Raw genomic sequence first — 24,698 nt, forward strand, 5'->3', positions numbered from 1 at the left:
AGGAACTATTGTCACTTTATTCTGGATGAAAAAGCTAAATATATCTAAAGGCTGCTTTTCTTTGAAGATATATTTTAATTATTATAAAAATATTTAGATGTAATGAACGATAGCACTTTTTTTAAACAACTGTGGTAAAATATAATGTATATATAACAAAATTCATCATTTAAAGTATGCAAGCAGATATTGGTAAATTTATGTAGTCAAATAACTACCACCTAAATCACTGTTTGGCAAATTTCCATCATCTAAAAAGTGTTTTTGGCTATCTTCCCCTTACCTCACCCTTGGCCTCTTATCTACTTTCCATCATTATAGTTTTGGCTTCTTGAATTTCATAAAATGAAATCATACAGGATGTAGTATTTTGTGTCTGATTTTTTTCAGTCACCAAAGTGCTTTTGAAATACACCAATGTTGTATGTTTCAGTAGTTCATTCTTTTTTATTGCTCAGTAGTATTCTATTGTTTTGAGTTTGTTTATTCATTCACAAGTAAGTGGACATTTTGTCTAGTTCCAGTTTGGGGCTATTGTGATTACAGCTGTTATGAACATTCGCAAACAATTTTCTATGATCATATGTTTCATTTTTTCTTGAGAATATCTAGAAGTGGAGTGACTGGATCTTATGATAAATGTGTATTTATCTCTGCATATTAAAAAAAAATACCTGCCAAAGTATTTTCCCAAAGGTCAGTACCATTTTGCACTCACACTAACACCATTGTGTTTGAATTGTTCCATATCTTTGCTATCATGATGAATTTTATGTGTCAACTTGACTGGGCTAAGGGATGCCCACATAGCTGGTAAGAATTTATTTCTAGGTGTGTCTGTGAGGGCATTCCTGAGAGATATTAGCATTTGAATTGATAGACTGAATAAAGATTACCCTTATCAATATGAGTTGGCACCATCCAACCTTTTAAGGGCCTGGATAGAACAAAAAGGCAGAGGAAGGATGAATTGGCTATCTCTTCTTGAGCTGGAACATCTGTTGTTTCCTGCCCTTGGTCATCAGTGCTCCTAGTTCTTGGGCCTTTGGACTCACACATGCACTTCCACCATTGGCTTTCCTGGTTCTCAGGCCTTCAGGCTTGGACTGAAACTACATTACCGGCTTTCCTAGTCTCTAGTTTGCAGATGACATATTATGGGACTTCTTACCCTCCACAGTCTCATGAGCCAATCCCTCATAATAAATCTTTTTCTATGTATTTATATATTTTCCTTTTGGTTTTGTTTCTCTGAAGAACCCTAATACTCTTGCCAACAATTAGCAATGTCGTTACATTTAATTTTAACCTTTCTATTGTATATAATGGTAGTATCTCATTGCAATTTTAATTTGCATTCTTTAATAACAAATAATATTGAACATCGTTATATACTTATATGCCGCTTACATATCTTATTTCCTAAAGTATTTGTTCAAATATATGCCCATTTTTAACAAGTTCATTAGTTTCCTCATTTTGAGATTTAAGAATCCTTTGTGTTCTGAGTACAAGTTCTTTGTCAGATATATAATGCACAATTATTTTCTTCCAATCCATCAGATGCCTTGTCATTTTCTTAATGGACTATTTTGAAAAGCATTTAAACAAAATTTATGAAATCTAATTTGACAATTATATTTCTTTTAAGATTTATGTTTTTGTAGCCTATTTAAGAAATATTTATATAACCTTATGACAGAAAGACACTCTGCTCTTTTTGTTCTAGAAATTTTGGACATATGATACATTAAAGTTAATATTTGTATATAATGTGAAATAAGGGCCATAATTCATGTTGCTCCCCTCCCCCTTTTTGTTGCATGTAAGTTCCAGTGGTCTGACTATTGAAAAAACTCTCATCATTGTATTACCTCCAACTTGGAATTTTCTTTGTAGGAAGGCTTTTAAATAAGAGTTCAATTTCCCTGTACATATAGCTTTTTCACATTACTTTTTCTTCCTCAGTGAACTTCTAATTTATGTTTCCTAAGGTCTTTGTCCACTTCACCTAAGTTTTCAAGTTTTGAGGCATAAAGATGTCCATAACATTTCTTTATTATTTGTGAGCTTTTCTGTTCTTTCCTGATACTGCTAATTTGTGTTCTTTTTTCTTAATCAGTCTGGCTAGATATTTATAAATTTTATTGATATTTTCCAAGAACCAACTTTTGCCTTCAGCAACTTTTTTCTATTGCTTTTCTGCTTTCTATTTTATTAACTTGTATTCTTTTCTTTATTATTTATCTTCTTCCACTTATTTTGTGAATAATTTTCTCTACTTTTTTCAGTTTCTTATGTATAAGCTTACAACATTTATTTGATATGTTTATTTTCTAATATAAGCTATGATACTATTAATTTCCCTCTAACTACCGTTCTTTATGTGAGAAACACATTTGATATTTTTATTTTCATGTCATTCCAAATATTTTCTAATTTGTATTGTGATAGCCATTTCAATTTATGATTTAGTTGTTCATTTTAAAATTGATACAAATATATTTTTTCTTATTAATTTCTAATTGAATTTGATTCTGGCCAGATAATATCATATATATGATTTTAATAGGGTTAAATTTATTCAGATTTGCTTTATAAACCAAAATATAGTATATCTTGGTGAATATTCTGTGTAATTAGAAAGCATGTGTATTTTTTTGTTGTTGGGTAGAGTGTTCTGTATGCTGATTAGATAAAATTAGTTAAGAGTATTGTTAAAGTATTCTGCATTTTTATTGAATTTTTTTGTCTAGTTTTTCTATCACTTTTATCTGTTGCCGAGAACAAGCTGAAATCTTCAACTATAATTGTGATTTTGGACCAGGCACACTGGCTCATGCCTGTAATCCCAGCACTTTGGGAGGCCGAGGTGGGTGGATTAACGGAGGTCAGGAGTTTGAGACCAGCCTGGCCAACATGGTGAAACCCATCTCTACTAAAAATACAAAATTTAGCCCAGCATGGTGGCATGGGCTTGTAATCCCAGCTACTCAGGAGGCTGAGGCAGGAGAATCGCTTGAACCTGGGAGACAGAGGTTGCAGTGAGCCGAGACTGCGCTATTGCACTCCAGCCTGGGTGACAGAGCAAGACTCCATCTGAAAAAAAAATTGTGATTTTGCCTATTTCTCTTTTAGTTCTTTCAGTTTTTGTTTCATATATTTTAAAAATTATACTGTTAAGTGCAGGCATATTTAGGGTTTTTATGTCTTGGTGAATCAAGTCACTTATCATTGTGAGCTGATTCCCTTTACACTGGTAATATTCCTTATTCTGAAGCTTTAAAACAATTTTGTTGGTACATAGTAGTGAATATATTTATGGGGTACATGAGATGTTTTGATACAGGAATGCAATGGGAAATAAGCACATCATGGAGACTAGGGTATCCATCTCCTCAAGGATTTATTCAAGTGATATTTTGCATTGTATATATTTGTACATTTTTAAAGTATTAACTTATTTATACCTGTACTCTTAATTTGGGATTCATGTAGACAACACGCAGTTGAATCTCATTTATTCAGTCCAACAATTTCTCTATTTTAATTGGAATGCTTAGGCCATTTAAATTTAATGTGGTTATTAATATGTTTAATTTTAAATGTACTATCTTACATTCATTTTTTAGTCATTTTTACTCTTTTCCTGCTTTCTTAGGGATTAATCGTTGTTTTATGATATTTTGTCTCCACTATAGGCTTTTTAACAGATATCGCTTTGTTTTATATTTTAGTTGTCTCCATAGGTTTTGCAACTATGCATCTTTAACTTATCATTACCACTTTAACATATCACTTCAAATAGCATTTATATAACTTCCATATCTACACTCCCTGACTTGATGCTAATATAGCCATACATATTAAGTCTACATATGATATAAACCTCTCAATATGCTGTTATTATTTTTGCCTTAAACAGCCAGCCATCTGGCACTGTTCACTCTTTTGGGAAGATTCAGATTCCCATCTGGCATCATTTTCCTTCTTTCTGTAGAGGGTCTGATGGCAATAAAGTTGCTCACCTTTTTTCTTTTTGATTTTGGTCTGAAAAGTCTTCATTTTGCCTCATTTATGAAAAAAAGTTTTCATTAGGTATAGAATTGAAGGTTGACAGATTATTTTATCCTATTAATTTAAAGGCACCATTTTTTATCTTCTAGACATTTCTGACAAAGTTTCTGCATAGTTTCTGACAAAGTTGTGTGGATTTGATATCATTTCTGATGTTATCGTTATTTCTTTGGCTTTCCCTATATCATGTGTTTTTCTCTGCAGCTTTTAAGATTTCCATTTGCCATCATTTTTAGAATGTAATTTTAATGCACTGTTGTATACTTGTATGTTCATTTTTCTTGGAGTCTTTTGAGATCCTAAGGATCTGAAGGTTTATATTCGTTATCACTTCTGAATACATTTCAGCCACTATTTTTTCAATCTTTTTAAACTGTCTCCTCACACCTTCCCCACCTACCAATCATTCTCTATGCTTTTGGGGTTCCAGTTGCACATTTGTTAGCTTAATATTGCTTCACAAGTTGCTGATAATCTGTATATTTTTTTCAATGTGTTTTTGCTCTAAACTACATTTTGCTTAGTTTCTATTGATATGCATTGATTAACTAATCTTTTCTTCTGTATCTTTTAATTTTTTCTTCTTTTCTTTAATCTGTTGTTGATCCTCTCCAGTGTATTTTTATTTCTAATATTATATTTTTCATTGTTAGTAGTTCCATTTTTTTAAAAAAAATCTGTTTCCCTCTTTATTATGTGTAAATTTTCCTTTATAATCCTGAGCATATTTATAGTATTTTCAATTTTTGTTTTATAGTCTCTTCTAATGATCTCCTTCATTGTTAGGTCTGTTTATATTTATTGATATTATTATATTCCACCTGTCATATTTTCTAGCTTCTTTATATGCCTAAAAATTTTTGATTGTATGTTCTATCTAACACATTTTATGTTGTAGATTACTGGATTTTGTTGTATGCCTTTAAAGAGTATTGAGTTTTGCTTAGCATTAAGTTGAGCTATTTGGGATCAAGTTGATCCTTTCAAAGTTTTCTTTTAAGCTTTGTTGAAGTTAATCCAAAGCAGTTTTTAGTCTTTTGCTCTTTTAGCCCATGACTAGAGTAAACCCTCCTTAGACTCTACTCAACACTCTATGAGTATATTATGAGATTCATCCCTTCTGACTGATTGGAATGCAAAATATTTTCAGCTCTGTGAACCTAGGGAATTATTCAGCCTGTTTCCTGGTGTCCCCCCCACCTCCCCAGTCTTAGTGAGTTTCATTCCACATGAGTTCAGACACAGAGTTGAAGACTTGAGGGACCCTTCTACATATGTCAATAACCCTTCTTCTTTCTATACAGATCCCTTTACTTTTGTACTCTTAATTATTATATATTTTCAAATTTTATCTGAAAATTAAGATTGGCTTCCTAAAGAATTAGAGAGATGCTCCACACATCTGATTATCTCTTCATTTGAAAGTTATTACAAAAATTTGATTTTACATGCATATGTTCATGTGTATGTGTACACTGCATGCACACACTGTATGTGCATATGCTTACTCTCTCATGCTTACACAAAATATTTTACAATCCAAAGCAATAATAAAGGAAGAATTACTTTTAGAGATGATTCCTTGAAACTTAATTTTGATTTTAAGTTTTCAGTGGAAATATATTAAAATATATGAATGAGCTATAATGAGCTCAGTTGTGAATTGGCATATTTCTGATCTGTAACTTTTATGAAATGAGGAGGATACACAAGGTAGAGTAAATGCAGACGTGTGTGTATCATGTAGATGAATATTGGGCTTTCCAACATTAATCTGCCACCTCCTTCAGTAACCTTTCCCCTGGCAAAAGATGGGTGAATTGGTCTTAAATCTCAGTTGTCAGGATGAAGGGATCGCCAGCAGCATTTCTTCTCATCTTTAAATACAGATTCTGTTGATACACTTTGACAGGCACTTATGTGTGTTTCAAAATATTGAAAAGGGTCATTCTCAGCTAAACCAGAATTTGCCTAATTGTTTTTGCTTTCTGCCCCTGGGATTTGAGACAGCAACAATGTGTGGCTAAGCAGTATAAAGCTTTCTTAACAAGTTCTGCAACTTAGTGACCCTGCTGACAAATGACCTTTCAACGCTCTACTGTCAAATTCCTAAACAAGAGCTTTTTCCCTCAGTGTGAAAAGTTAGAATCATTAGGAGTGTGAAACTTTGTGGAAATCTCTAATGGGGTTTTGAGTTTTCAACAAAATAAATTATCACTTAGTTAAATATTATCTCCTCTCATACTCCATCTCCACTGCTTTAATTGTAATTTTTCTAAAACCATAATACTCAAGGCAACATCTACTTACCTAAAGCATTTTTTCATAAGACTCACTGTGTATGAAATAGCTTCTTACCTCACTGCTATGAGGTGAAGGTAGCAGACATAAGTGCATGGATCCTTTTAAATGCAAAGAGGTATATTTAATACCTACTATTTAACTACTTCCTAAAAAACAAGGACGATGAACTTCATTGTTATTAACAAAGAAAAGAATACTGGTACACAAGTCCCTTCAGTGAGACATACAAATAGGACTGCAATAACCTTTGTAACTGATAGACGTGAAACGGTATTGTGCATACACATACACACACACACACAAAATCAAAATTTCACTAATTGATTCTAGTAGCAGCAAAAGCCAGATTGAGTTCATAAAGTTAAAATTATAGAATATTCTCAAAGTAAATTGGATTTATTAATTTAATTTCATAATAAAATGCAAATTTACTTAATGTTATACTAGACTTCTGAAGACTCAATAATAGTAGTGTTGTTCTTGTTGCTTTCAAGTGGTTGGTTCTGAGGTTATGTATTCTTTTATGTAGGTTAATGTTTTTCTTACAGTATCACTAATACTGTCAATTTGTTTCATGTCTCTTTCTTTTAATAAACCTCTTCTGATAGTGTGAATGCATTTGCTTCAAATGAATTACCTTGACGATTTTCACAATAACACATGCCCGGAAAAAAATCTTACAGCTGTTTTTCTTAAAATGGGGTTTATTTTCTCCAAGAAATGAATAAGTTTGGTAGAAGGGAGAAAAGCAATACACTGTAAAATAGGAGAGAAAAAGGAAGGAAAGAAGAAGCACCAACAACTTTAAATTTTGTAGGTTAACAGATTAATCACTTAAACAGAGAAAACACTCAAATGCTAATTGATATATACATTTTTGAAGGACTGACATACAAAAACTTGTGGCTGCCTTATATATGTAATAGTTATTTTATTTTTCTGGTTGCATTTATCAATATTAAATATAGGTCCATAACTTAAATTTATTATAAAATGCTGCTATTATTGGTCTGGGAGGTAACTGTGTATGAGTGTATATGTGTGTACATATATATGTGTCTACATGTATACATATACACACATTCATACATATATACAAACATACATACACACACACACACATATACGCACACACACACACAATATAAAACATACAGTAGCCCACTATTGGTTCAGTTAACCATTTACCATAAGCAGCAAAGCATGCATTTTAACGTAAGGTATTTAATGTAAGGTATTATAAGGTATCCATTATGACAATGGAGTTTAGTTAGGATTGGTCTCTTAGCCTTCTGTGACAATACTGAAATGTTGAATAAATGCTCCATCTGACTTTTCTCATCACTGACCCATATGAAAACAGTGCCCAATAACCCACAGGTCTTCTGCATTCTCTGTCACTTGCCTTATTTTCTGAGTATCCTTCTGTTAATTTACAACAAGCAATGATACCAGTAAAACAGATTTTTTTCATACAACAAGGAGTCATTTCTTCCTAATTAACAGTTTCATCTCTTGACTAAGTTATAAAATACTCAGGCCACTGAACTACCACTTACATTTCAACCAACCCTGTAGTTATTGATTGAGGGGAGAAAGGGGAATAAAAATAATGTGATGTTTAATGATTTTAGGGTATTTATAAGGATTTCTGTGACATGACATTTCTTCTTTTAAAAAGTTTCCTCCATTTAGATATTATTATTCTATTTAATTCAAAAGAGATTTCTAAGTTCAATTGTAGAAATGCAACACATATTTAAAGACTTACAAAATGAGGGTTACCAGATAAAATACAGGACACTCAGTAAAGTTTAAATTTCTATGAAACAATGAATAATTTTTTTAGTATTAGGATCTCAAAGTATTGCAAAGTATGTATTTATACTAAAAAATTCCTGGTTTACCAAAAATTCAAATTCAATTGGGCATCCTGTTTTATTTTGTTTTTAATTTGTTAAAACCTGACACCTCTACAAAGCCAATCTCTAACATCACTAAAAGAAGATTATGAGTCTTCACTGTAGATTTCAACCTGCAGAAAATAACTGAGAAATCCTGTTGTCCCTTAAATACTAAGACACATTTCTCATTTCATTATCTCTGAGGCTGATTGATTTAACTGAAAAAGGCCAGAGTCCTCATTAATTGGGTCATTAACTCTAAATCAGGGGAATGGTGTGTGGTCAAGAGTGAATTTTTAAAATATAAAAATCTAAACTAAAAGTCAAGTTTAAAGGCCTCTTTTCTTCCCTTTGTATTTATCTTTATTTTCACTCCACTCAGAGTTATATAAAGACCTTGCTGAAGGCGGGAGACTGTCAGGTGGATGTGAGAGAGGCCACTTTATCACAATGACAGATGCCTCTGGCACCCATAGCAACTTGACTCTAGCCACAAGGCTCTGGGCTTGGGGGCTGGGGTACAGATCTGGCTCTGACAAGCAGAGGCCTTGTGGGTGAACCCCACCTGGCCATTTGGAATCGTGGTCCTGAGGTAGCTCTGGAGCAAGTTGGCACAAATAAAGATTTCATAGCAATGTTTTCCAGATCCAGAAAAGATGAAATCAGATCAACCACTGATTTCTCTGTTGACTTGATAATGAATACTCATACACAGGTGAGGTAACTGTCTAACAGCCTTTCTGGTGATTAGTTTAAGAGAAGAACATTTTCTATGGCAGCTGTTTAGCTCAAAAGTTAAAAATCTCACCACTTTTTCATCTGGCCCAGTACATAATATTCTTGAAATAAAACTCAGAATTAAGATCCATCTTAGTTTTGGCTGAGAGTTGAAAATGAAAAGGCTCAAGTTAGCCCCATATTGACAGGGCTGTGCTTTAAGTATAAGCACACTCGCTGTCTCCATTTTCATTTCCAGTTTTATTCCAAGAGGAAGAGAGACAAGAGGCCAAGTTCCCCTTAAGAAGGCAAATGTCTCTTTTCTTCCTGTGGATTTCCAGATAAACCCTCTGAGGTATATTTGCATTGAGAAATGCAGTGCATTGTATGTTGCTAGGATGCAGCAATTATTAAAGTAATTACTAAAGTGGTATCTACATAAAGTAAATTTGGATGATGTTTAAAACTCAAATGCACACTTTGTGATATTGTGTATAATACAGCTTGTTTGTAGACAGACTACTCCTTTGCTAATGATATTGAAAAAGAACCTTCTTTACTTTGTTTTGCCTTTAGAAATAGATAAGTCCTTCTAGTTGAAAACTAGTTATCATTTTATCTTGTGAATAGTTTAACAGGATAATTATTAATAGTAGGAAGAAGAAAATTGTGACTTTTAATATGTAAAAGATATTTAATATATGTATACAAATTAGTTCATGGTATCCCAGTCCTAAAACAAAAAATCCAACTAGCCTCTAATGGCTTTGTGGTTGTACATAGTCATTTATTATGACTGCTGAATTCACTTTCACATTTTGAATCACTTTAAACACCTTCCTCAAATATTTTTGCTAATGTCATTTCCCTTATAGGAATTTTGTTTTTCCCTGTCCTATCATGTTACCCTATACTAAATTAAACCCTAGGCTATTATGGGAAAAAATAATTCTCCATTCTATTTAGAGAACAGACCCAGATACGTCTTACATCATATTTACATATCAGATAAATTTATTATTATTTCACATATATAGATCCAAGAGAAGTTCCTGGAGGTCCTTTGCTTTTCAAAATAAACAGTGCTTTATGGGTGTGAAGGAAAAACTAATTAATATAGTCTTCTAGCAACTTCTTAGAGAAGTGGAGTTATCCTTCTTTTGAAAAATAGTGCCCTGCCTTTTAATGAATGAAATGAGAATAAAAGCATGGCAAGAGACAACGATGGTTCACAATAATAGAGGAGAAATTTGGAAATAGTAAATGTGGTAGACTAAACATGGCTACAAATTGCTTGCTGCTCTTCCCATCAAGAAGTAAAGTCTAATTGCCCCTTCCTTGAATCTTAGCTGGCTTTAATGAGTTCTTTGACTGATAGAATATAGCAATAATAATGTTCTGGAACTTCTGTGGCTATGTTAGAAAAAGCCTTGAAGCTTCCACCTTGGTCTTGGAAGTTCTCTCTGGGAGTCTGGACCTGCATGTAAGAAGTCCAAGTACCCTGAGACCAACCACTTAAGGAGGTCATGTTAAGGTGCCCTGGTTAATATTCTTAGCTGAGTTTGGTGTTTGAGCCATCACCATCAAGATGCTAGTCATATGAGTAAAGACATCTTGTTCCCTCCAGACCATACCTAAACAAGTTGAAAACTACAAAGGGATACTCATAAACAACACAGGAATCACTCAGCTAACTCCTGCTCAAAGTTCTAATGCACACGAATTCTAAGGTAAAATAGTTATTGCTTTAAGCCACTGGGTTGTAGGATCTTTTCTTATGCAGCGACAGATACCTAGAATAGACTACCAGAAACCAGAGTTGGTCTTGAACAGGGTAGGTCTCTTTGTGTGACTGACACCTCAACCTTTTTTCTTTTGACCTTCCATCTTCTGGGTGTTGTCTGGCATTGTTTCCAACAATTGGGAAATACTAGTATCTAGATATAATAATTTGAATGGCAGATAAAAGGTAGGAGCTAGAATGGCTTGTTAAGCACTATTACATAATAATGTTATCATTTGATATTCTATTTATTTTAAGTTCTGGTCTCCTTATGCCCTTAACAGTTCTTTTGAAAGCCAAAGCCATTGCTCTGCCCCTCGAGTGGGTGGATGAGTCTGCTTGACTGTCAGACTTCATGGATAAACTGGCTGAAACCACATAATGTTCGCTCACTCATTACCTTTCTCCTTGTTAAGCCTTTCTGATGGGTGTGCACTGAATTCAGAAAACTGCTAAAATCATGTTAGACACAGAGAAGATGCAACCAACTTTGGATGATGTACAGAAAAGAGTTAACATAGCAGGCCTGGCCGGGCGTGGTGGCTCATGCCTGTAATCCCAGCACTTTGGGAGGCTGAGGCGGGTGGATCGCAAGGTCAGGAGATCAAGACCATCCTGGCTAACACAGTGAAACCCCCCTCTACTAAAAGTACAAAAAATTAGCTGGGCATGGTGGCAGGCGCCTGTAGTCCCAGTTACTTGGGAGGCTGAGGCAGGAGAATGGTGTGAACCTGGGAGGTGGAGCTTGCAGTGAGCCAAGATTGCGCCACTGCACTCCAGCCTGGGTGACAGAGCGAGACTCCGTCTCAAAAAAAAAAAAAAGAAAAAAACAAAACAACAACAAAAAAAACATAGCAGGCCTGAGATTGCTATCATTAGAAAGTAGGGTTGACTGTTGGCTGATTTTAGGATTGTATATTTTTGGGACAATTCCTACCGTTCTGTAATTGATAAGAGGGGTTCTCCATGCCTAAATAGTTTTTTACAAACATGTGATTTGTGTCAAACACCTACTTTTCTTCTGCAAGTCTGGGATTTTGGTATGTGCTAAGAAGTGGATGTCTATGTGATCAGCCCCCAATAAAAACTTTGGACACTGAGTCTCTAATAGCTTCCCTAATCAGCAATATTTCATATGGGTTGTCACAATTTGATGATGGAGGAATTAAGCATGTCCTGTCTGACTCCATTGGGAGAGAACTATTGGAAACTTGTGCCTGGTCTCCTCCAGACTTGGCCCCATGTGCCTTTTTCCTTTGTTGATAATACTTTGCATCTTTTCACTGTAATCAGTCATAGCCATAAGTATGACTACATGCTAAGTCCTGAGTCCTTTGGGTCCTCCTGGTGACTCATGGACGTGTGGTGGTTTCAGAGACCCCAGACAGGGATAGCAAGTGAGCCAAAGGAGAATTACACACACACACACACACACACACACACACACACACACACCCCACAGAGGCATGCATGCATGCACACACACCACAGGCACATGCACACATGCACACACCAGTGTTCCAATTGAGACTTTCCTACTAAAAAATTTTTAAATTTTTAATGAAAGAGGATTTGGATTTTCATTAAATAATACTGGTAACATGAATGTTATAATTATTTATATGCTTGCTTAACGTCACTACCTCCACCTCCTGTCTGCTTCTCCTCAGTCCACTTCAGTGAGGCTTGTTCCCAGTCACTCTGACAAAACGGCTCTCTCTCAGCTCCACTTTGCCAATTGTCACTTTTTTCTTTCATCTTACTTGTTCCTTCAGCTGCATTTCCCACAGTTGAGCTCTCTCCTTGAAACACTTTCTTCTCTTGGCTTTTGAAATACCAATATTTCCTGATTTTTATCTGACCTTTATATCCACTCCTTTTCACTGTCCTTTGGTAATTTTGCCGCGTATTTCCAAGCTTCAGATATTGGAACGACTTGGTTATGAGCTGCCTTCTGTTTTTTATTTAAATGCTCTTCCCAGTTTCATTTCTAGTGTCTTGGCTTTAAATATCATACATAAAATGATAATCCTCAAATTTACTCTCCAGAATTGTAACCTCCCTTGAGCTCCAGATTCTTACATGAAACCACTTAGTCAGGATCTCTGCTTAGAAGCATAAAGCCCTTTCAAACGTAGAATGTTTAAATCACAACTCCTGATTCTTTGTACCAATCCTTCTGTCCCTGTCCGAACCTTCTCCTCCCCACCCCTTTCTGTCTTGATAAAGGCCACTACATTTAATATCTTCTCTATCCCAGAAGCTGGAAGCAACTTTTATTTCTAGTAATCAAGCTTCCACTCAAGAACATTACCAGATAGTTTTTTTTGGCTCTGATGGGGTTTATGCATTTATATTGTATGCTAGTGACTCCTGATAGAAACTTTTTAAAAATTCACGCTTTTAAACTTTCATGAGGGCACAGCTTTTTTGAGAATTTGATAACTATAGACTCAGTAAAAATACACATAAACCACCTAAACAAAAAGTGTGCATGTAATTTCAAATGAAATATGTATGTGTGTATGTATATACCTATACATAGATATAATTTTAAATGAATACATAAAATTTTAAATGTATTAAAATGAAACGTGAAAACGGTTACAGTTATAATAGACTGTAAACCAAGTTAATATACAAGACAGGAGAATTTAAGTATGTTGGAGTATTAAATTAACTCCAAAAATCTCAGGGTTTTTTCCCCTACATCATCCATTGGTGTTTTTGACATTTGTCTCTCATACTGCACCTCTAAAATATGCTTCGAATCTGCTCCAAACCTAGTCCCAGTCACTGTTATTTCTTGTCTAACTGTCAAGATCCTTGTAATGGTCTCTCTGATTCCACTATTGTACTCACCCATAGTCTTTGTTTGGAGTCACTCTGGAGTATGAAGTATAGGGGGTCAAAGAGTGAGTGCTGGAAGTAGACTTTATAAATGAAAATCTTGGACCCGGCTTCTAATTAGTTGTGTCAATTTCTTTATATCTAAAATAGTGACCATAATAATAACTTTTATTAGAGTTGTGGGGATTACATAGATTGACATATCTAAATATAAAGCATTTGGATAGCATCTAGTACAAAAAACACTCCATGTTAATATTAATAATATTGTTATTTTTACCATATTAGGTTCACAAGAAAAGCAGAACCAAGAAGAGAGTTAATAAAAGGAATGGTTCACACGATTATGATGGATTAAAAAGTCCCCAAATCTGTAGTCTGCAAGCTAGAGACCCAGGAGAGGTGATGGTGTAGTTCCAGTCTAAAAGATAGCAGGCTCAAGACTCAAAAAGAGGTAATTTTTCAGTTGAAGTCTGACACGGCTAGCCTTTGTGTCCCGACCCAAGTCTCATCTTGAACTGTGATCCCTGTAATCCCCACTTGTCAAGGAAGAGACCAGGTGGAGGCAGTTGAATCATGGGGGCAGTTTCTCCCATGCTGTTCTCCTGATAGTGAGTTCTCATGAGATCTGATGGTTTTATAAGGGACTCTTTCCCCTTTTGCTCAGCACTTCTCCCTCCTTGTGAAGAAGGTGCCTTACTTCCCCTTTACCTTCTGCCATGATTGTAAGTTTTCTGAGGCCTCCCCAGCCATACAGAACTATGAGTCAATTAAACCTCTTTCCGTTATAAATTACCCAGTCTCAGGCAGTTATCTATAGCCATATGAAAATAGAATAATACAAAGTCTGAAGAGAGGAAAAGACTAATGGTCCAACTCAAGCAGTGAGAAATCAGGCGTTCCCTCTTAGCCCTTTCGTTCTGTTCAGATCTTCAATTGATTAAGTGGTATCCACCCACACTTGGGAGGGCAGTCTTCTTTACTCAGTCTGTTGATTCAAATGTTGATCTCATCCAGAAACACCCTCAGAGACACACTCAGAATAGTCTGACAAATGTCTGGGCATTCAATGGCCAAGTCCAGTGAACACAAAAAGTTAACCATTACAATTACTATTATCATTAGTCCACTCCTCAGCCTGAGTAAGCTTTTAAAAACATAAATCAGATCACTTCACCTCCCTGCACCAAGCCCTCCAGCAATTTCCCATCACATGCCTTACAAACACCTCTCACTCTGTCAGTGAGAGAGTTGTTCTACAGTGCTATTTCGGGTCCCTTCAGCATTCTTTCCATTTAGGTATCTCGGGTTTATCAGAAGCTCCTTCAGGAGACCACCCCTTCACCCTCCATTGTCCCTCAACTTAGGGAACACATTAAAGATTCTAAATTGTTTCTTTAAATTACTTCTGACTACTCTGGAAGTAAGAAAAAAAGCACCCCTATATTTCTCTAAACACCACCTCTCTTAAGCCTTCCACTTATTTAATTAAATTCTTGGCCTTTGTTTATATAGCAAGGAGGTAAATGATGTATTGAGTTTCTGTTGACTTTGGACTCTTCCTCTGCAGCTCCTGCAGATGGTCTAGCACTTCATCATAAAACAGGGGATTATTTATCACCTATCATGTTGGGGCCCCAACCAAAACTGATTTACAAAGGGCTCAATTTTCACACATTGCTATATAAGTGTTGTCACGTTCTTTCCAAAGTAGATATTTAAACTATTAGCAACAGTCTTTGGAAATGTCCATACTCACCAGCATTGGATGTTTTTATTTGTAAAATCTTTGCTTCATTAATAGCTAAAAAAATGAATCATCATGTCACACTTTTTAATTTGCATGTATATTAGATTAAGGGATCTTTTTGCCTAATGTATATACAGTGTTAATATTTTTACATATAATCTAAAAGTACAGGTGGATGAACTTAGACTATTTTTCTTTTCTTTTATCACTAGGTACTTTATATTACAGGTATATTAGATTAAAGGATCTTTTTGTCTGATGTATATACAGTGTTAATATTTTTACATATAATCTAAAAGTACATATGGATGAACTTAGACTATTTTTATTTTCTTTTATCACTAGGTACTTTATATTACAGGTTGAGTATTACTTATTCAAAATGGTTGGGACCAGAAGCATTTCCAATTTCAGATTTTTTTTGGATTTTGGAATATTTGTATAATCAGAACTCTTGGGGATAGGACCCAAGTCTAAACACAGAATTCATTTATGTTTCATATACATCTTACACACATAGCCGGAAGGTAATTGTGTACAATATTTTTAATAATTTTGTGCATGAAGCAAAGATGGTACTTAGGTGTGGAAGTATCCACACTTATTGATTGTACTTATGTGTGGAATTTTCCACCTATAATTTTGGTGCTCAAAAAGTTTTGAATTTTGGGGCATTTGAGATTTTGGATTTCTGCATTAGGCATGCCTAACCTGTATTTTATTTTTAATCACGTATGATCTATTTATGCGGTTGCTCATGTTAGTCTGATGTTCCTCTTGTGTATTTGCCTGAAATGCATATATTTTCTTCGTAAAACTTCCTAAAATTCATTCCCAATATCTCATCTGTTACCTTATATTTTTTGACCTTCAAAAACTTTAGTTTGTGTGTGTGTATGCAAAGCTGTTTATCTTTTATTTAGTTTGTTTCTCATTGCTTCTAGATACCATGCCATTCCTGACATTTGATACTTTTTGATTTCTGTTTTCTTCCAATTTTTCTGTAACTTTTATGTTTACCTCAATCAGCTTATATTTTATTTGGTAACACTGTGATAATGGTCTAAATTTACCTTTACTTTTTTTAAAAAAAAGATAACCAGTTTTTCAAACATCATTTATTCAATAATTAATAATCCTGTCCTTCCAAACTTGTCAAGTCCTTAATAATATATGACTTTCCAGTAAGTGAAGCCATTTCTAGACTATTTATTCTTTTCCATTGATTTGTCTGTTAATTTTAACCATTACCAGCATTTAAACATTTTTATGGACTTCTCATATTTGAAAATTTTTTGCCGTTGACTTTTAGGACTATAGGAAAGTTAAAAATTAAGTGTGTGTGTGTGTGTGTGTGTGTGTGAAGAAATTAATCAAAGTAATGTGAAGAAGTGGAACTGGTAGAGTCAATGTATAAACTTGATGTAATTGTATTTTCCAAATACTGATAAGATCCTTAGAGACTGTTTTTCTTCAACCGATTAAAACTCCCAACAGAGAAATTTATCCTGTACATTGTTGATTATTATCTGTGAAACTTTGAATGATAAACCAGTATATGAATGCGCACAAAGGTAGTTTTTATTTGGTTTATATTCTCCTCCCCACTCTCCAGTCCAGGTAAGGCACTTGAGGAGTTAGCAACATCTCTGTAGGATCCTCTATGCTATGGTTAAAAGCTGAAAATTAAAGCCATGCTCTTCAGTCAATACTCCTGAAATAACTCTCAGAATAATTTATTGAATCCTTTCAAGGAGAACTGGGAAAGTAAATTTAGCATATTATTTCTGACTTTGAAGTATAATATGTCAGACTACTTTTCTATTTATGTTATGTTTTATTTAATGATTGCTAAGAGTTATGAGTAAATACAGATTCCTAAATAAGAGGAATTGAAATGTAGATCAGGAAACAGGAAAAATAAATGAGCAAATTGTTTAATTTGGATTTGGTATGCAATTGTTTAAGAAAAATGATCATCTCTTCGTTTTAATGAATACTTCCAGATAGTTGGCTTTTAGTGTTGGTACAGGAAATATCAGCTTAGTCTCAGCTTCTCTGTTAATAAAAAATGTGTAAAATTCAAATTTTTGGTAATTTAAGCACATTTGTACTGAGTCATAATCACTAATCACTTTGGCATCTTAGGAAGATTAAACATTGAATCTGATGATAAAATAAAATGTGTTAGGATTAACTGCCAGATATTTGGGCCAATAGCTCTTGGGTCCTGAAAAATGACTTGATTCGAAGGGCTTAAGTCATTGGTAATTAGTGGGAGGAGGATAGTTGTGAGCCAGTTTCCTTTTTCCTTCATCCTGTTTCTCTCCATTTCATTTAAAGGACTTGAAAGTGTTCACATGGTCTCTTTAGGTCTTCTGCAAGGTAAGAATAGATTTTAAGGTAATAATGCATCAGAATAATGCTGAGAGAAGTAATTCATATTAGTGAAGCCAAAAGTTTACCTTACATTCATTTCACTCTAAAGCAAAAGGTGCACCAGAGTGAAACAAGACTTGACCTTGCTGATATAGTTACTAGTATCTCAGTGACAGTGATGCCCAGTGGAAGCCAGGAACCCATGCAGGTGTGTGCTTGTGTGTGGGTAGAGATGGAGAAGTATGAGGGAAAGGGAAGATGTAAAAAAAATGGGGGGGGGGAGATAGGAATATAAAGGGCACTTTGAATGCTTAATCAAAAGGGACTTTGGCATAACCAAAGGGCAGCCACATGGGAAGAATAAGAAATGTTTGTACCACCCTCTAGGTTTCAACAGTGTACCTAAGAATCTCTTGAATAAGATGGAGTCTTTTCTGGTAAGGATGAAGCCTGTGTAATTTACTTGTGCCTATAGACACTAAAGTCAAAATTACATTTGGTGCATATCCTACTTTCTCAGGAGCTAAACCTGGACATACATCTGGAGGCATCAATAGGTTTGATTTGAGAAGCTTTATACAACAGCTGGTAATAGTAGCCGACAAATTGAGTTTAAAACATCTGACTTTAAAACCCCTGTCACTATGTCAGAGGCATTTAAACCAGGGTGACTCTGTCTTGAACAGGGGCTAGGTAAACTGAGGTTGAGACCTATTGGGCTGCATTCCCAGGAGGTTAGGCATTCTAAGTCACAGGAAGAGAGAGGAGGTCAGCACAAGATCCAGGTCACAAAGACCTTGCTGATAAAACAGGTTTCAGTGAAGAAGCCAGCCCCAAATCCCACCAAAAACAAGATGGTCATGAAAGTGACTTCTGGTTTTCCTCACTGCTCATTATACACTAACTGTAATGCATTAGCATGCCTAAAAGACACTCCCACGAGTGCCATGATAGTTTGCAAATGCCACGGAAATGTCAGAAAGTTACGCTGCATAGTCTACAAAGGGGAGGAACCCTCAGTTTTGGGAATTGTCCACCTCTTTCTTGGAAAACTCCTGAATAATCCACCCATTGTTTAGCATATAATCAATAAATAACTATTAAGTATTATCAGTCGAGCAGCCCAAGCTGCTGCTCTGCCTATGGAGTAGTCATTCTTTATTCCTTTATTTCTCTAATAAACTTGCTTTCACTTTATGGTCACTGCCTCGAATTCTTTTTGAATGAAAACCTTCTCTTGGGGTCTGGATAGGGACCCCTTTTTGGTAACACCTTTAGTGAACCAGCTAAGGTACATTGGATACTTGTCAGTGAGTATAAATAATGTTAATTTGTTAAAACTTTCCCATTTTTAAGAGCTCCTCTGACAAACTAGAGTCATAGACAGTCTCCAGTGCCAGAGAAAATTACACACGTGAAGAAGTAGCTGCAAGCTTTTGCCATTGAAGTGTCTTCTCAATTAAAGATGGAGCACTGGCATGATAGCAGACAGTTCAAAGCACGCACACTATATAGATCTGGTCAAACCAACTCTGATGAACTTTTTACTCAGAATTTCAACTGAAAGAAACCACATTCCCAAATGTTGCTTAATAGATAAAACACGGGAGATCAATTTTGCCTGAATTTGTATTAGTGCTCCATGAAATTATGATACCATCACACCTCTATCCCTGTTATTAGGATATGCTTTCTTGAAATTTTATTTCATTTTTGAGAAGAATGATGCAGACTTTTTTTCTGTCAACAAAGAATCATCATAGACAATGTAAGCCTCAGAGACACTTATCTTGACAATTTTTTTTAACAAAAGGCTACACTTGTAATTTTCAAAATAACCTCACTAACCCATGAAAAATATTATTTTTAGATTTATATAATGATGCATAATGACTCTTCTCTGATAAGCTTTGGTTTCATCATCCATCAACAAAAGGAACTCTTTTTGTTCCTTTAGTATTTAAACACTTTTATTATTAGACACTTTTAATAAGCTTATATAAGGTTTTAGTACAAATATTACCATTAATCTTGCTGTGTCTATCTACTATGAAAGATAAAAGCTAGTTTCAAATCAGAACTGTAAAACAAAATTTGTTACTGTTACAGAACATATTTTAATTTACACCCATATTTTAAAACTGGATATGTATAAAAATGCTATGAAAGGTTAAAATTCTAAACAAGTAGAACACATGAAGAACATGTTCACTCCTTATCTAAATACAGGCTTTAAATCAGCATCAAAACCACTTTTAAAAATAGATCATAGGAATAATCAATATCATAAAAATGGCCATATTACCCAAAGTAATTTATAGATTCAGTGCTATTCTCATCAAGATACCATTTACTTTCTACACAGAATCAGGCAAAACTACTTTGAATTTTATATGGAACCATAAAAGAGCCCATATAGCGAAGACAAGCCTAAGCAAAAAGAAAAAAGCTGGAGGCATCATGCTACCTGACTTCAAACTACACTACAAGGCTTCAGTAACCAAAAGAGCGTGGTACTGGTACCAAAACAGATATATAGACCAATGGAACAGAACAGCAGCCTCAGAAGTAACACCACACATCTACAACCATCTGGTCTTCGACAAACCTGACCAAAAAAAAAAAAAAAAAAAAAAGCAATGGGGAAAGGAGTCCCTAGTTAATAAATGGTGTTGGGAAAACTGGCTAGCCATATGCAGAAAACAGAAACTGAACCCCTTCCTTACACCTTATCCAAAAATTAATTCTAGATGGATTAAAGACTTAAACGTAAAACCTAAAACCATAAAAACCCTAGAAGAACACCTAGGCAATACCATTCAGGACACAGGCATGGGCAAAGACTTAATGACTAAAACATCAAAAGCAATTGCAACAAAGCCGAAATTGACAAATGGGATCTAATTAAAGTAAAGAGCTTCTGCTCAGCAAAAGAAACTATCATCAGAGTGAACAGGCAACCTACAGAATGAGAGAAAAATTTTTCAATCTACCCCTCTGACAAAGGTGTAATATCCAGAATTTACAAGAAACTTAAACAAATTTACAAGAAAAAAACAAACAACCCCATCAAAAAGTGGACGAAGGATATGAACAGACATCTCTCAAAAGAAGACATTATGCGGCCAAAAAACCTATGAAAAAAAGCTCATCATCACTGGTCATTAGAGAAATGCAAATCAAAACTACAATGAGATACCATCTCATGCCGGTTAGAATGGTGATCATTAAAACGTCTGGAAACAATAGATGCTGGTGAGGAGATGAGAACACATGGACACAGGGAGGGGAACATTACACACCGGGGCCTGTTGGGAGGTGGAAAGAAAGGGGAGGGAGAGTATTAGACAAATACCTAATGCATGTGGGGCTTAAAAGCTAGATGATGGGTTGATAGGTGCAGCAAACCACCATGGTACATGTATACCCATGTAACAAACCTGCACGTTCAGCACATGTATCCCAGAAGTTAAAGTAAACTAGAATAAAATAACATAAAATAAAAAAGATCATAACTGTTAAAATATGTACAATACATTAAATATCTTTGTTGATGATTTTATTGTTTTTTCAACATCCCAGAGACAATACAGTTCACTGAATATTCCTGATACAGTACTCTTTTCCCAAACTCCCTTGTAGTTTGGTGGTGACCATGCCACCAGTTCTGAGTATACAGAAACATGCATCACTTTCAATCAAAAGTACCTCAAGGCATGTGTGACTTATTTCCACTTTCTCTTCTACCTTGATTCTGAAGGCCAAGTGTTCCAGATTGTATGCTAAAATATGGAAGCTGTGTAAATGCTTGTATCAGCCCTTGGAAGCGAGCTATCCTGGAGAGCCGGAGGGCTCATGGTTACTCCAAATGACAGTGAAATACATTTTAACATACTCAGTCTTAATGGTTTTGGAGTTGCTACCACACATTGTGTAGCTTGTTCCAACCAAGATATTGGCCTAACCAAAGCAGCACTGGCATGCATTAGGACTTTTAATAAGCATTTGCATGTTGTTATCTATATTATACAGAATAAATAGTTATGAAGAGATATCTAAGAATACACAATTTGTAGATAAAAATTGGGATTTATGTGTATTTCCCCATGTTGAGGGACCTCTTCTACTAATTATCTATCATGTCAGACAGTACACTAGGCCTTTATACATGTTTGTCAGCTCACACACAAAACTACCCCATGATATAGGTATTGTTGTTACTATTATTATCATTTTTAAGATAGGGAAACTGGGACTCAGTGAGGGTAAATAATTCTCAGTGAGAATTATTAGATAAAAGATAGCATAGATAAAAGATAGTCATCAGATAAAAGATAGCATAGCCAAGACTGAAGCTCAGTCACTAGACCATGCTGCCTTTAGTCTCTGTACTATTTTTTATTTAGACTGAGATAAATGAAGTAAAATCTTATTTCTAATAGAAAGTGATTTTGTTACTCAGTAAACAATAACTCTTCTTGTTCTTTTCATTTAAAGCATTTTATAGCTCAGAATATTTATAGAAGAGATATTTGAAAATCCATTTTTAGAGGATTGAATCAAAGATAATATATTTTAGTAAAATAACATATGACTGGCTTCTAAAAATCTATCTTAAAGAAGAGGTCCAGAAAAATGGTTGAAACATACTTATTTTTCTTAAGATGCACTTTTTAGGCATGATAGTAAAAAGTGCTTTAAATGATAGTAAAGCATTTTCATGTGTAGCATCGAATATTTAACAGCATTTTATTTTTCTTATCAATGGTGTTCCAGAATTTGATATAACTTCCAATGTATTCCAAGTCATGTGTCAAGTTAGCATGTTAGTCTCTGTAAATTTTGCTTACATTATTTGAAACATAAAATTTGATCCCAAGCAGAGACTATATAATTATTTTATGTTGATTTTCCTTCTGATATATTTCTTTTTAAAAAGCGATTTTGCTTTTTTGAATCATAAAATCTTTCAATCTGTTTATTTATAAGCAGCTCCCATGGTTATGCAAAAATATAGACTTATGCAACTTAAAATGTATGAAATGAATATTGTATTTTCTCACTTAACGGGTATCAAGTAGATTATTTTTAATGCTGAAGTTGACAAAAGTGAAGTGAGAAAAACATTTCTGCTTATATATTACAAAACTGCATAGCAGTAACATTATGTAAATATTTCTACATGAAATCTATATTGCAAGTCATAAGTCACCAGGACCTAAACTAGATATTAAGGTTTATGAAGGTGGTTTCATTCAGTGATTTGGTTTTATATTCACTACATTTAAGTAACAATTAACTACATAAAAATAAATTAAAACATGAACATATAGATAGATCTCCATCTTGAAAATAGACATGAAGTCATAATTCTGCTTCCAACCTGCCTATGTTGGGGCATTTTAAAAATTCCCTTAATTGTACATCCTACTCTGTCTTATATACCCTATTTCAGCACAACAGAACAGAGAAAGAATAAGGTTTCCCTTACAACTCTTAAAACTGATATTATCCTATGAAAGTCATTTAGTTATTTTAATTATTTTCATGACACTACCCCCAACAGCTTTCAATTTATTCACAGCTAGTGGGCATCTTTCAGACTATAAATAGTTGTAAATCCCTACAGGGCGAACTTTTTGAGAATTATTTTATCTGGGTTCTTAGAAAGCTTCATATGACTATCTTTTGATGTGCTATTTTAATCCTAATGGAGGAAATTAATATTATTGGAATAATACATATATAAGCTGTATAACTAAACAGCATGGTCATTTTAGTTGATTATTGACCTCTACCACCTCCATTCCTTCTGCCCTTCTGGTTAAAAGCTCGAGAGAGAGAGGAGAGGGAGTTAGTTCTGCTATTACATATTTTCTTCATGTTGGATTGAAGGTCATTATTTTGAACTCATAATTGCCCCTTGGTCTCTCAAACCCCATTAAGCTTAATGGTCTGATTTAATTTGCTTGGCTGGTCTTTACTCTAAAAATACCTTCTACTCCTCCTGCTTTTCCTTCCCTGATATGAACAGACAAAGCCTGGTTTTAATCCATGTTACATAAAATTTCCAGAGGAACCAATGAACATTCTATTCATGACAAAGATTTATAGCAATGCCTCTTCCACTTCATCAAAGAGTGCGATTGCATGGCACATACAGAGTGGGCAGACAGATTTTAATGATGCAATTACCAAAGTTTACCTCTCTGGCTGGTGTAAAAACTGGGCCAACAGGAGTTAAATGTTCCCTCCACAGGAGATCAGGGACAGAATTTTGAATGTCAACTTCTTCCTTACTGAGCTACTACATGTTTTCTTTTATACTTCTTCTACTTCCCTCCTCCCTACCCCACCTCCCATCAAGAGACTTATCTTCCACATTCTCACTGCTGTATTGGTTCAAATCTGCCTTGGACTCTCCTAAAAGTTCTCACAGTGCTGACAGGTCAGTGTAACAGTTTTCCATTAGTAAAGTCCGCATGCATAATTAAAAGGAACTTAGGAGACAAAACCATGAACTTGATACTTGTTATCATTATTCAAAATAGGTAGTTTGAGTTTTAAATCTAGAAAATTCTGACTTTTGCCAACAACAGAAAGAAAGTCCGCAGTTGAATAAACCTATTTTTTTAAAGAGAATAGCAAAAGGAAAACAAAGGCATCTTACAATTAACTTTTTGTTTTGATATTTGTTTAATGATTTGTTTTATTTTTTAAAAAATTCCAGACCAGTCAAATCTATACAATTTCATATTGATTTTTCAAAATTCAGTATCATTCAACACTTATTCATTTCTTTTCAGAACGTTTCTCTTAAATAAAGGTATAGTTTTCTCATTTTAAAGATGTAGTAATTTGTTAAAAGAATCCAGAAAAGTAATATTTACCTACAGAGTCGGAAATCAAGAAATTAGTTGATTTCAAAAGGCCT

At 34.5% G+C, this 24,698-nt stretch overlaps 2 long non-coding RNA genes across 5 annotated transcripts in view; one reads left to right on the forward strand and one right to left on the reverse strand.

Annotated features, from left to right (window-relative positions):
* LOC105377949 (uncharacterized) overlaps positions 1-14,018 on the forward strand; it is a 79,927-nt gene extending 65,909 nt beyond the window's left edge. The window contains exon 6 of the long non-coding RNA XR_001744304.2: positions 13,924-14,018. This is a non-coding gene — a long non-coding RNA (uncharacterized LOC105377949). The remainder of the gene's footprint in view (positions 1-13,923) is intronic.
* LOC107986634 (uncharacterized) overlaps positions 1-24,698 on the reverse strand; it is a 117,445-nt gene that overhangs the window by 26,433 nt on the left and 66,314 nt on the right. For 3 of the 4 annotated variants that reach the window (XR_001744303.1, XR_001744302.1, XR_001744300.1), the window contains exon 2: positions 13,648-13,776. The exons of the other annotated variant lie outside the window; for it this stretch is intronic. This is a non-coding gene — a long non-coding RNA (uncharacterized LOC107986634). The remainder of the gene's footprint in view (positions 1-13,647; positions 13,777-24,698) is intronic. 4 annotated transcript variants of the gene reach the window in all.

Source organism: Homo sapiens, chromosome 6 (genome assembly GCF_000001405.40).
Source record: "Homo sapiens chromosome 6, GRCh38.p14 Primary Assembly".
In the NCBI taxonomy this organism is placed as follows: domain Eukaryota; kingdom Metazoa; phylum Chordata; class Mammalia; order Primates; family Hominidae; genus Homo; species Homo sapiens.